At 32.9% G+C, this 15,435-nt stretch overlaps 1 protein-coding gene across 10 annotated transcripts in view; it reads right to left on the minus strand.

The window, feature by feature from the left end:
• The window catches only part of CSMD3 (CUB and Sushi multiple domains 3), a 1,214,012-nt gene that overhangs the window by 26,742 nt on the left and 1,171,835 nt on the right, over nucleotides 1-15,435 (minus strand). For all 10 annotated transcript variants that reach the window (NM_001363185.1, XM_017013010.2, NM_052900.3 and 7 more), the window contains 3 exons: nucleotides 13,970-14,143; nucleotides 5,585-5,758; nucleotides 4,584-4,657 (listed from right to left, as the gene is read on the minus strand). In NM_001363185.1, coding sequence (NP_001350114.1) covers nucleotides 4,584-4,657; nucleotides 5,585-5,758; nucleotides 13,970-14,143 — 422 coding nt within the window. The remainder of the gene's footprint in view (nucleotides 1-4,583; nucleotides 4,658-5,584; nucleotides 5,759-13,969; nucleotides 14,144-15,435) is intronic.

Raw genomic sequence — 15,435 nt, forward strand, 5'->3', positions numbered from 1 at the left:
AATCTATCTAGCATCATCATTAACAGCTTACTTTACTCAAATTCTGTTCAATTAACATTGAACTTTTGTATCCTGAAATGCATGCATATTTTCATGCTATTCCTACTGCATGGAATGCCTCTCCCAACTTTCCTTTCCTAGCTCTTACACTAAAAGAATTAGCTCAGCCATCATCTGTAGAAACCCTTCCCTGCAGCAAGAAATTAGAAAAACCATCTCTGTTAGAAATGTTAGCCTTTCTAGGCCGGAGACTGTGTGTACTCATCCTTGTGCACCTTGAGCTTAAAAATGTGATTTGAAAATGTTGGAGCAATGGAAGGAATGGGGACAAAATAATATAAAATTACTTGATTACTTAACTTTAGAATATTTAACGTCTATCAGTTCTTAAAATGCAGTGATATCATCTCTATACTTTAGATAATGTAAGGTTAGATCATTCTGTTTTTTTCTTTGAAGGGTATATTTGGGTTATTTCATCAAACCTTTATATTGGTCAGGTATAAGAAATATGTTGGACTACATACACTTTGTTTTTACTTGTAAGACATTTTTCTTCAATCCTGTAAGCTTTTCAAAATCATTATAACAACTGCTTTAAATATTAACCAAATATTATAGAATTAAAATAAAATCTGTTTTAATATTTTTCTGTGTATCACCAACACATCTAATAAGATTTTTGTCAAATTCACAAATACTTATACCTAATATCTAATAAATATTTATAGATTTAATAATTGGTTAAATTGTTTATCCAGAACTTGTTATAGTCAAATCAACAAAATTTTCTCTAAATATCAGTGCATTAATAAATAATTTTGTCAGTGATGAACCCACTTAATAGTGTATTTTAAATAGTTCTTTATCCTTTCCCAATTTGATATATCCTTCTGACTGAACAACTTCCAACATGCATAGTATAATTTGCTTATTTGTAGAAAAATAGGCAACAACATTCTAAAAATTTATATTATCAAATTCAAAAAATTCTTGGAAAAATAACTTATGTACAATTTTTTCACCAATATTTACGAATAAAAAGTATTATTTGTATATCAAACATTGCAATAATTAATATTGAAAGTTTTTATAACAAGAATTAAAAACAATCCATATCAAATTTTAATTGCAACCAATGTTTAAATAAAAATCACTTTAAATTGATTTAAAGTACCATGTTGTGTATAAATGCATTATAGAATTTTAAGACATGTTTAATCAGTAAACATCACTTATGTTCTTTAACACCTTATTCTCCTATTTTAAATGTTATATCTTAGTTCCTAAATCATAAAATTTATATAGCAAATAATATAATAGACATTTTGTATACATTTTGAACATTCTCAGTAAGCTCTATTTTCCCTTCCATGAGATTTCATGGCAAATAACACTTGGCATGCTAGAATTTTCATCAATGCATTTATTTGAATCTGACTTCTAATATCACATGTTTGTTTAACTGGAGTATCCAGCATGGGTCTTAAGAACTTTCAAAATTTATTTATTATTAAGGTCTCAAAAACGTATATGCTTCTTTTGCAATATATATTTTTAAAAATAAATTTACGTTTTTCATTATGTATTTATACAAAACATTTTACTCAAGAAAAATTGAGGTAGCTTCTAATAAAAGATATATGTAAATTAAAATAAATAAAATTGACACAGAAAGGCAAGATCATAAAAAATGAAGGTATAACAGATGTGCTTCAGATGCAAGTAATTTATGCTGACTGAGCATTAACTTTGGTCCTAGGCTTCCTGGTTCAAGAAAAGTTTAATTATTATTATTTATATTCAAAACAAGAAGATTTTAATTGAAAGTAATTTTTTTTTACTTTCAGAATTCATGCCACTGTATTTATCATTTAAGGTAATAAAACACTATGAAACATATATTTACCTCATTCAATATACTAAGATACTAATTTCAATTACAAACTGAAAATCATATATAATCACTATGGTTAGTTTGGTAGGGTTAAATATTTTATGGTTAAATATCTTGAGGCTAAATATCTAAAGAGCCGGATTAAAAACTTTTCATATTTATAATAACTTTATGTAACAAGCCCTAAATCCAAATAATGTACTTTCCATTGCCCAGAGCTCAGTTTAACAAGTGATACAGCAGTGTGTATGTGTGCTTGTCATTTACTCCATGGTTAATCCTGATGTTGCATCAATTATTTTGACAGCTATTCTCTTCACTATCAATTTTTAGTAAAATTATTCCAATTTACAATATTTTAATACAAAGACAAATTATGTTGAATACTTTTTTCAATGATAGAGTTTTCATCATCTCTAGCAATGAGTAATATATTTTGTATGTTAATAATTATTGATGTCCCAAAATCTACTATATAAATCTATAAAGAAAAAGAGAGTGAACAAATGAACACATTAAAGAGAAAATTAAGAAAATGATCTGAGTGCCTCTGTAGTTCATAACTTTCTCTTGCTCTTCCCAAAAATGGGCTTCCTAACAGCTGTGATTTTGCGTCATAACTCACTACCGGCCACCTAATGAAACCAACATAAATACGAAAGTTGGGACATTCTGATTCTCCTTGGAAATCTGGAATTGAGATTGAGATGATCACTTTCTGTATGTAGCTGAGATGTAAATAGAAATGATTCACTCTTGGCCATATGGCCAATCTGCGGAGAGAAAATATGAAGTAGATAAACAGAAAGTAGTATAAAAAACTGAGTACTTGAAGCCAGTACCTACACTCTGGGTTTGATGAGTCTCACATGGATTCTTTCTTTGGGAGTCTGGACATACCTGCACAGTAATGCCTTTAGGCTTTAAGTAGCTCCAAACAGTTTTTTTGTTACTTGCAAGCAATCGTTTTTCTCAATGGCTCAAGATGCCTTTTGCATATAAAACCATATTCATTTGGAATTCATCAATAAATTAGTATTAATTAGAATTATATAACTATTTATTGTGTTAGATCTATACAGATTTAGTTAACAGATTTAGTATGTGTGTGTGTATATATATATATATATATATATATATATACACATTCATACCTGCCATATGCATGTAAGAAAGCCAATCTCCCTAATGTAAGACACAAAATACATTTAATTTTAATAGATAGTTATATAATTGTATATAAGTAGACTTTACCATATTTGGAATCTAGTCTATTTATATTTATTCATATAGAATATAATGATTTAATACCTGTTTATTACCCCAAATAACATAAATTCAGGGTTAGGTTAACTTTGTTACAGCATTTTTCAATGATTATAATAGAATCCTTAGAAAGCAGAGTTAGTGATTCTCTTCATTTTGTTGGATGACTGTTTTAAACTCCACGTTAATCATTCTCATTTCCAATATCTCAAATAATATTTACTAAAAAAACTCATATTCTTTAGAAAATCAGCCTGATTTAGTACACCGACACTAACATCACAATTTTGTATTCTGTTAGAATATGTCACCAACTTGATCTGCGAACAAAGCAAGTCACATTCTGTTTCAGTTTCTTTGTACATATGATGAGGACTAGTGCTGTGCAGCTAGTTGCCCATTTTTCAGGATTTAGATCAATTGATAAAACCTTTTATGGAGATATTAATCTAAAGTTCTCTAAAAACACCAATATAATGGAGACAGACTCATTTTTACACTTTTGTATTATCTGGAACAGGACTGAAGGAAATCAGAAGAATTGGAAATGCTATCAAATCAATGTTCATACTGTGCCTGAACTGTAGATAAATGGAAACTATTTTTAATAACAAAATATGGCCCTTTAGATGAGCCCTTCCTTTAGAAATGGATGGTCTTCAGGTTCACGCTGAATTTCACACAGAATAGCACAATTTACAAAACCCGGCAACACAGGGCAATTGGGTAATGTGTAAATTGGCTACTTCTGTTTGGAATCAGTATGCACTTTGGCTCCCCTTGGATCTTTTGTAACTGAAAAGTTGCTGAATCTCTACCTAAAATCTAAATTGGAAAAAGAGAGAACAAGAAAGTCAGCCACACATGACTGGGCATGCCAAAGAATTCTAATGTAACAATTCAACTATGTGTTGTATAGCAACAGGTTCTGGTTATTTTTCAGCAATTTCCCACCATTTTAAACACTGACAGCAAGGTCATATATACAATTAGTGCTTTATTGAATAACCCGCATTTTTATATATTTGCTGTTTGTCTCAGAAGTCTCTCCTTTAAACTCTTTTATCTTTACTTTTCTTCACTGTCCCCATATCTTCCTGTAGAGTTTACTCATTTACTCCCTCACTCTTACTGTCTTATATATAACTCTCTAATGCTTATGGATTTTTCCTATGCTCACTGCTATTTTTTGCTTTTTGTTTTAATTTATTTTTATGTTCCAGTTAGGAAATTTTATTAAAAAAATTTTTTTTTCTAATTTCCTTTACTTCCACTCTTTTGCTGTCTGTTACCCTTTTTATGTGTTTATAAATGCAGATAGAACATGACTTTTTGTTATGTCAACAAGATTATATGCATATGAACCAAAGACGCATTCTGACCTAGTATGATGCTAAATGGACATAGCTAAAGTACCCACTTGAAATCCGAATGTATTGTTCTGAGATCCATGCCGAGGCACACCTGGGTTTTCACAAGAGGTTTGGGTAGGCTCTAAAATGAAGATTAAAAAGATATTAGTCCTTTAAAATTTACAATAGATATAGTTCTCTCACAGAAAACAATTTTAAATAATCTGGGGTTTGGTACAAAGGATCTAGGAAATAATAAATAATGTAAATGTAATAACATCTCTCCATGGACAGAAGCCTGTTAATCTTGAAGCAAGAAAGTCAGGTAGACTCCATTTGATATGAATTATGAAATTCTTGAACTTTGAACCCTTCCGATATAAAAGCACTTGACATTCAACTAGCTCTGTGGATGTAAAATTAAGGAAAGATAAAGGATATGAAAGCAGTGTACATGCATATAACATTTGTCCAAAGACCTTGCTAAACTATGATTTGGGGTAGGGTAATATTTCTTTGAAGAAATAACAGTTTTTTCCCAGAAACAGGACTTGATAATTTGGATTTTACTGACACCCATAGGATATTCAGGCATAATAATGGTAGGTAGATGTGTCGGTTTATTTGAATGACAGATTATTTGGTTAGTTTACCAAATATGGCATTAATTTTAGGATTACAGAAATATAGTTACAATCATTTTGAAATCAATATAACTTTTAGATATTTTTGGAGCAAATCTAATTTCATATGAAGATTCTTTATTAACTATAAAAATCTAAGTAAAATGTTAGTACTTAATAATGTCACTACCTGAAAGTATTTTTATTTTTCATTTTACTGATATACAACAAAATTCTTTCAAGTGTTTCTTCTGGAAGTTTAAAGTGCTAAAATTAATGTTGTATTTTCTACCAATATTCATTTCCAGTGCCTTCTAATTGCTTCTATATTTTACACTTGTTTTTATATTAAGCCAACTATAGGTTATAGGATAAAGAAAACCATTAAATGTCACCCCTATTAATTACACAGTTACTGTGCATAATCAGCCTTTAATTAATATTACCTATGCAGTGAGGTGATGAACCACTCCAAGTGCCATCTGCTTGACATATTCTGGTGCTTGATCCCACTAATATGAAAGGAAAATTGCAGCTGAATGAAACCTCTGACTGGTATATAAAGCTTTTGCCTTCTCTTTTTCCTTGGGCAGGTATACCAGGGTCACCACAAAACTTTGCTGGAAATGAAAAGAAAGACGCTTATATCAAAGATTTAGTATACAGCAGAGTACACAGTTTGGAAAAATGGTGACAATCAATTTGAATATTGTACTAAAGAGATATATTATTCATGATAAAGCTATCCCAATGAAAAAATTTATTTTTTAGCTTATGTGCAGATAAATACTGAATTGAAAACTCAGTATAATATTTAAAAATTAGCTCGATTTCGATGTTTTCCACTTAGTAAGCTACCTTAATAAAGAAAGAATTTTTGTACTTTTGTCGTTTTGTATTGACCAAAATCAAACCACATATTTGGACTTGTTGGCTGCCAAGGTGGAGTATAGCCTTGAAAAAGTAGGTGACTCATAGGTGTCCCTGTCAAAAAGAAGCAACCCATAATGTTCCAGGCTGCACGCTACAGATTGCAGTGCCCTTTTACATGTATATAAAAAGCTCTGGTTATTTGTTTTATTGTACCCTGTATACTTTGAATACTCGAAGCACATATCCCAGAAACTTATTGCCTTCCTCTCCAAAATACTGTCGGTATTTTTAAAGCATTTTTTAAAAGAAAAGAAGGCCATCAGAATCTAAATCTACGCAAAACTATGGAATGTCAATGTTCTACAACAAGCACTGGAAAGATCAACGTGACAGGCTTTCTAAAAATTTTGATTAGATTATTCCATTCAACTTACATTTATTAATTACTAAAGAAAAACATTATTCTAGGTGGTTTGGGGCACTTGAACATGTCAGTAAACAAATACTGTAGGAAATCTGCTTTTATAGGGTTTATGCATTTGTGAGGGAAGTGAACAAACAATAAACATAATTAGCAAGTTTAAGAAAAGGTAGTATGTGAAAAAGTGGTAAGTCCCGTGGGAAAAAAAAAATCATTCAGACAAAAGAGATCAAGCCTGTATGTATGTGTGGTGGTGTGTGTTAGGAGGTGGGAGAAGATCTTAAATAAGGTGGCAAAGGTGTCTCTCACTGAGAAAAGATTCAGGGAAACAAAATACTTAGCCATGATGAAGTCCTAAGGAAGGGCATTCTAGGTAGAGTAAACAGCACTGCCAAAGCCTTCTGCTGGGGCATGGCTAGCTTTCTAGAGGAAGATTAGGAGGCCTGTGTGGCTGGAGCAGAGTGAGCATGAAGAAGTGTAATGGGGAATGAAAGCAAATGATTTCAAATATATCAGACAACACAGGCAAATGCACCTTTATCAAATGCTTTCAATGTTTTTATTGTGGCAAAGAAAATACATAACATATAATTTATAAATTTAACGATTTTCAAATGTACTCGATTTTCAAATGTTCAGATTAAGCACCTGAAAGCTTACTTCCCTCTGAAGCAAACAAACAGCAACAACAAAATGGTTTTAAGTATAAATGTTGCCTTAGGAGGATTATAGGTTGGGTGTCCATAAAATGCATCATCCAAACTGAGAAACTTTTGAGAGTGAAAGGGGATCCTAAATGTACAAGAGATCGACCACAACAATGGGAATAAACTTGGCATGCCCGAGCCATCTGGAACGCATGTATACCTTAATTATAGACTACCATAATCTTGGCCTTAATGTCCAAATAAAACCTTCCCTGAAATTCAAGACTACACGATAAACTTGGATTTTTAAACCTCCTTTTAGTAGCATTTAAAACTTTTAAAAAATAATTAAAATGAAAAGTAATCATTAACAGCTATTTATAACAAACCCACAGCCAATATCATACTGAATGGGCAAAAACTGGAAGCATTCCCTTTGAAAACTGGCACAAGACAAGGATGCTCTCTCTCACCACTCCCATTCAACCAAATGCTGGCTAAATATAAAAACAAGTATTGGAAGTTCTGTCCAGAGTGATCAGGCAAGATAAATAAATAAGGGTATTCAAATAGGAAGACAGGAAGTCAAATTGTCTCTGTTTGCAGATGATGTGATTGTATATTTAGAAAACCCCACCATCTCAGCCCAAAATCTCCTTAAGCTGATAAGCAACTTCAGCAAAGTCTCAGGATACAAAATCAATGTGTAAGAATCACAAGGATTCCTATACACCAATGATAGACAAACAGAGAGTCAAATAATGAGTGAACTCCCATTCACAATTGCTACAAAGACAACATAATACCTAGGAATAGAACTTACAAGGGATGTGAAGGACCTCTTCAAGAAGAACTACAAACCACTGCTCAAGGAAATCAGAGAGGACACAAATAAATGGAAAAACATTTCATGCTCATGGATAGGAAGAATTAATATTGTAAAAATGGCCATACTTCCCAAAGTAATTTACAGATTCAATGCTATCCCCATCAAGCTACCACTGACTTTCTTCACAGAATTGGAAAAACTACTTTAAACTTCAAATGAAATTAGAAAAGAGCCTGCATAGCCAAGATAATCCTAAGCAAGAAGAACAAAACTGGAGGCATCACGCTACCTGACTTCAAACTATACTACAAGGCTACAGTAACCAAAACAGCATGTTACTGCTACCAAAACAGATATATAGACCAATGGAACAGAACAGAGGCCTCAGAAATAACACCACACATCTACAACCATCCAATCTTTGACAAACCTGACAAAAACAAGCAATAGGGAAAGGATTCGCTATTTAATAAACGGTGTTGGGAAAACTGGTGAGCCATACGCAGAAAACTGAAACTGTACCCCTTCCTTATACCTTATACAAAAATTAACTTGAGATACATTAAAGATTTAAATGTAAGACCTAAAACATAAAAATCCTACAAGAAAACCTAGACAATACCAATCAGGACATAGGCATCGGCAAAGACTTCATGTCTAAAACACCAAAAGCAATGGCAACAAAAGCCAAATTTGACAAATGGGATCTAATTAAACTGAAAAGCTTCTGCACAGTAAAATAAACTATCATCAGAGTGAACAGACAACCTAGAGAATGGGAGAAAATTTTTGCAATCTATTCATATGACAAAGGGCTAATATCCAGAATCTACAAATAACTTAAACAAATTTACAAGAAAAAACCAACCCCATCAAAAAGTGGACAAAGGATATGAACATATACTTTTCCAAAGAAGACATTTATGCAGCCAACAAACACACGGAGAAAAGCTCATCATCACTGGTCATTAGAGAAATGCAACTCAAAACCACAATGAGATACCATCTCATGCCAGTTAGAATGGTGATCATTAAAAAGTCAGGAAACAATAGATGCCGGAGAGGATGTGGAGAAATAGGAACGCTTTTACACTGTTGGTGGGAATGTAAATTAGTTCAACCACTGTGGAAGACAGTGTGGCGATTCCTCAAGCATCTAGAACTAGAAATACCATTTGATGGCCTGGCACAGTGGCTCACGCCTGTAATCCCAGCACTTTGGGAGGCCAAGGCGGGCGGATCACAACGTCAGGAGATCGAGACCATCCTGGCTGACACGGTGAAACCCCATCTCTACTAAAAATACAAAAACTTAGCTGGGTGTGGTGGCGGGTGCCTGTAGTCCCAGCTACTCAGAAGGCCGAGGCAGGAGAATGGCGAGAACCCGGGAGGCGGAGCTTGCAGTGAGCCGAGATCGTGCCACTGCACTCCAGCCTGGGCTACAGAGCGAGAATCTATCTCCCAAAAAAAAAAGAAAAAAAGAAATATCATTTGACCCAGCAATCCCATTACTGGGTATATACCCAAAGGATTATAAATCATTCTACTATAAAGACACAGGCAGACGGATGTGAATAGCACTATTCACAACAGTAAAGACTTGGAACCAACCCAAATGTCTATCAATGATAGACTGGATTAAGAAAATGTGGCATATATACACCATGGAATACTATGCAGCCATAAAAAAGGATGAGTTATTGTCCTTTGCAGGGACATGGATGAAGTTGGAAACCACCATTCTCAGCAAACTAACACAAGAACAGAAAACCAAACACAGCATATTCTCACTCATAAGTGGGAGTAGAACAATGAGAACACAGGGACACAGGGAGGGGAACATCACACACTGGGGCCTGTCAGGGGGTGAGGGTCTAGGGGAGGCACAGCATTAGGAAAAATACCTAACGTAGGTGACAGGTTGATGAGTGCAGCAAACCACCATGGCATGTGTATACCTATGTAACAAAACTGCACGTTCTTCACCTGTACCCCAGAACTTAAAGTATAATAATAAATAAATAAATATTAAAATGAAATCGGAAACCAGAGTAAAGTAACACAAGTATAATAATAGCACAAAAAACATTGGTTTACTGTGTTTAAATTTTCACTATCTCTTGGATATTGTAAAACTTTGGGCTAGTTGACATTCAAGTCCTTCTGGCAATGCTGTATAATATCAAACCCAAAAGCCAGGGACACTGTCTTATTAATCTTTGTATATTCAGTACATTTTGAATTAATACATGCTTCCCAGTGAACATCATCAATGGGCACTTCAGCTGAAGCAATTGTTTCTATAACTAACTTATTGCCTAACCTACTTCTGAAGTGTTCCTCTTATGCATATTCAAATAAAGGAGGGAGACTTAACCACCTAAACTCCTCAATCCCCCAGTACCCTCTCTGTGTGTCATTCCATCTATTTCTATCCGTGAATTTTCATGTATAAACCAAACAACCTATTGATATCAGGTTTAGAGACTTAAGACACAGAATTTCTTGTCAAATGGCTTTAATTCATAAAGACATAAACTTTTAAGATGAGAAAACATACTTTAAGCAAAATTAAAGAGAAAAAAGCATTCCTCTTTATAAAGTCCCTAACATTAATGGATTTGCATACCCAATGGATAAGGCCATCATTTCTTAAGTATACCTTCTCTGAACTTCAATCCATACTCTGCCATTTTCTAGCGGTATGACCTTAGGCCTTATGACAATGTAGCTGCTTCCCTAAATGATGGCAGAGTAACACTGTGCCCTTGCAATTTGATTTTCCCTTCTGAGTTTAAGTGTCATTGTCTATTAAAATGTCATGACTAATCCTACGTACCCAGGAGCTCTATTATGTGTAGTAGAAATGATATACGTAAAGCAACTGAGACAAAGATAGCGTTATTACATTTGAAATGTAAATACATATTTTATTACTATTTGTATTTCAATAGAACCAAAAACAAAACACCATATCAAGATAACTTCTTGATTGTAATTTTTTTTTCAGTTATATCAAACAAACAAGCAAACCTGCCATATACTCATCTTTGTAAAACCTACTTGACCCTATCTGTCCTGGAGAAGACCTGGAGTATCTAGTACTATTCAGAACATAGTGATGTTTGCTAAGATGACCTCCTCCATGAGTCAGAATTTTAAGGGCGAATTACGTGACAAAAACATTGAGGCACTGGAACAGACTTCCTCCAAAATTAGAGACTCAGGTAGAAGGGTGGGAGGAGTAGTGAGGGATGAGAAATTACTTAATGAGAACAGTATATACTATTTGGGTGATAGTTACACTAAAAGCCTGGACTTCTCCACTACTCAATATATCTATGGAATAAAACTACACTTGTACCCCTTAAATTTATAAAGTTATTTTTAAAAATCATATTACAGTACCTAGAAGGAGCTCCTTTGGATGTTATATGAACTGCAGTCTAGACCACTACTGTAATAATAAGTTAGTTTTATCTCTCATGCTCAATCTAACTTGTTAATATCTCTCTGAAGCAAATGTACTATTAGTGACCTGATGAGCAAGCAAAATAGCCATATGCATGCCCAGTATTTGCCATCACTTAATAGGAAGCTTCTCAAGTAAATAATGCCAAAGTGCACCTAATAGTTTGTCTTCAGTTAGTCATCATAATTCTATGTCTATAAAATATATATTTATTTTATACTAACATATATCTGTTTCATTTTTAAAATAGGTCTATAAAATACATAACTTGCATTAAATTATAAAATGACTATCCATGAACCTAACACTCAACTTTAACAATTGATAATTGCCAATACTGTTGCAAATCTTTGTAGGCATCACCCAGAAAGCATCCCTTTTCTTAGGCCCAGGGTAGCATACTTTGTGTCATCCTAAATTCTGGGTTTCTCATTTCTATACATTTATTGGTAATTTACATTCACGTGTATGCATGTGTGTGTGTGTGTGCATATGGCATATATGTATGTGTGTGTGTGTAAATATAGGCACTATTATTTTACTGCTAAAAAGAATGCTGACAACAATATTCTTGAACATGTCTCCTCGTGCACATATATGAAAATTCCAGTAGGGCATATACTTAAAAATAAAATTTCTTGGCAATAGACTCTGCAAGTCTTTAACTTTACTAAATAATACCAACTAGTTTTGCAAGTGGCTGTGTCAATTTACCCACCCATCATGAGTCTATAGAAGTTTATGGTACTCCATATCCTCACTAATACTTGATATTGTGTAATATTTTTTTCAATCTCCTGAGAGGAAATAGCTGTCCAGGTATTTTGACCATTTTTCTTGTATTGCCTTTTTTATTTTAGAAAAAAAAATACATATATATATTCTAAATATTGTCATTGTTTTCACACATATTGATTACATTGTACAAGTCTGTGATTGGTCTCTGATAATGAGAAATTTTCATATTTTAACATAGCTGATATTTTTTCACTTTTTCATTTGTGGGTTATACCATTTGAATCTTGCTTAAGAAATTCCTTCTAAACCTGAGGTCATTTAGATAGATTCTAAATGTTTAAAACTTTTATATTTAAATCTCTGATAAATCTAGCACTGATTTATTTGTTGTGGGTGTGTGTATGTGTGTGAACTAATTGCCTTGCAGACTTAATTAAAATGTCCATTCTTTCCCTACTGACTTGTTCTATAATATATCACATATGTATAAATGGTTCTGTGTTCTCCATAACATTGTTTTACTTTCTATACCTACATCAATACCATACTGTTTTAATTACTATAGCAATATAGTTTTTATATCTGCCAAGGACTATGCTATATTCCAGGGACAGAGCAGTGAATAAAACAAAAAAAATTCTCTGCTTTCAGGGAGTATACATTTGAGTAGAGGACATAGTTCAAATAAACAAGATAAGTAAAATGTATAGTATGTCTTAGGAAAAAATCAGAAGTGAAAGGGAAGTGTTAAGGAGAATAAATAAAGCCTGGAAGGGAAGTGTTATATGTCAGTGATGAAATTCAAATAAGGTGACCAGAGAAGGCAATACTGAAAAAAGAAATTTTTTGTAAAAAGCTGAAGGAATAAAAGGAAATTTCCAGGTAAAGTGAATAGTGAACATAAAAGCCCTCTTGCAAAAGCACAGCTGAGTGCTCAAAGAAAAGTAAGAAGGCCTGTGTTTCTGGAGCAGAGTGGATGAAGGGGTGAGTAGTAAGATATGATGAAATCAGAGGAATACAAGAAAAAAAGTCCTATGAGCATGTAGGGGATTTAGTTTCCACTTTGAATGAGGTGAGAAAACCCTGGAGGGTCCTAAGCAACTGAGACAGTTAGCTCTGCATAATGTCAAGGTCATGAGACAGGTAGAGTCCTCCTCTATCCCATGCTGGGAAAGGAAAAAGAACTAGGAACAGGATAATGCTAGACAACTCTCTGAATGACTATACTGTCCAGATAATGTTCTAGAATCATTTATGTAAAACTGCAAGAGGAGTTTGTTTTGTTTTGTGTTCTTCCAAATTAATCTTGAAGTAACACTTGCTAGGTATATAGTATACAGCAACCTCTGTAAAAAAAAAAAAAAAAAGGCAAAACAAACAAACAAGAAACCCTTTTATCTCTATGCTTACCCTGGTAATTTTAGATGTAAAATCCCAATCATTATCATGACAAATGCCATCATAAGAACTTTATTTGAATAAACATGTAGAAGTGACATGGATTTATTGCCGAAAAAGATTTGGGAACAAATTTCAGAGTATTCGGCTAAGACAAAAAGGACATAAATAAAAATAATTTTCCAGCAGTAGAATAAATTTAAGGCTGTCTCTAATTTGAGAAATAATTTTGAAAAATTAGAAAAGTTTATAAACTAAAACCGTTTAGTGTAAAATTTTGAATCAGAGAAGGAGAAACATAATGACTTAATTACATGAAAAGTAGCTACATTGGTAAATACTGATTTTTCTTTGAACCCTAATTAGGCATTGAAGGAAGCTTAACAATCTCATATTTGGTCTAGAAAAATTTGAAAATTTTAAGTAACAGTTGTTAGTAGAAATCATACTTACGTAAGCACTGCGGTACTTCACCACTCCAGGTACCATTCCCTACACAGGTCAAAACAGCAGGGAAGGATAGCTCATAGCCTGGAGAACAGATGTAGCTAATACTAAAGCCCCAGTCGAAATTTGTTCCTTCCAGCCTTCCATTAGAGATCTGGGGAGGAGTTGGGCAGGTAACAGCTGCAATTACATTAAAAGTGATTAGACACAGCTGTTGAAATATCCTGAGCCTTAAAGATATAAATAAATATCATTAGAAGAAGCACATGTGCTAATTTAACCTTTTCGAGGACAATATGTTGTGACATATCTTATTCTCCTGGTAGTGTTCCTGAGTCATTCCTGGAATTAATCCCTGCAGGATGCAACTTTTTCTTGGCAACATAATGGCTACTGGTTGTCAGAGATTCTCTTACAAAATAGCAAGCTGCCTGACATCTCAGAGAAGGCAAACAGAGGGTGACCTTCAATCTAGTATACTGTAAGTGATAAATTATTGGTTTTATATAAAATTATTTTCCAATGACCTTTAGACAGACAAGACTTGGGTTGTTTAACTATATATAGTATCAGCATCTTAATCATGGAATTTGAAAGTAGTTCTGTGACATTTTTGAAAACACAGGTCATATGTCTGAGTATAATATCCAAGTTAGTTCCCTTAACCACTTAGATTCATATGTTAAACCTTATTATTATAGGGTTTATAAATGCATTTTTAATTTTTTTAAAAAATGTATTTTGTTTAAATTGTTTTCAGTTATCTTTAAGCAAAGACAGGTTGGATAAGATAGAGATGAAAGGATGAGGAAGGGTATCAACTTCAAAATCTAAACATGAGGAATGACTGTATTATGAGAACTAAAAACATATCTGAATAGCTTTTTACAGTTGAGTAATATCTAATTCATATCAGTATGAATTAATAAGTGTATAGAATAACATCTAAAACATAAAATGTCTGCTCATGTATTTTCATTTACTAACTGTATATTTATAGTGATCTGATACAGAAGCTTAATAATCAAGAAGGAAAGACAAACACATTGAAATTATTAATTTTGTTAGATTATAAGTCAGTAAGATATTAAACTATTAATTCACATTTAAATAGAAACGTAAACGAAAAATCTTAAATATTAAAAATCTAATTATTATAAAACAATTTGTCTGACATTGCATGTACAGTATTCTACAAGTAATCATAAAAATTGGCCAAAAAATTTATAAAAATATTTCCAGTGGAAAAACAAACAGCATAAAGTAGCAAATTTATGGCTGTATTGACTAACAGGTTAATTCTAGATTGTATTATATGAAAAACAAGTTTTTCCCATTATTTAAGAAAAATTACGGTTCTATAATTCAGGCCGGCTCTTCCCAAATTATAGAAAGAATTTTTCCCCACCCTTGAATTACTTGACCCAAGTGGATCAGCAAATTACAGTTATAATTCATCAAGGTTATATTCT

Source organism: Homo sapiens, chromosome 8 (assembly GCF_000001405.40).
Source record: "Homo sapiens chromosome 8, GRCh38.p14 Primary Assembly".
Classification (NCBI taxonomy): Eukaryota; Metazoa; Chordata; class Mammalia; order Primates; family Hominidae; genus Homo; species Homo sapiens.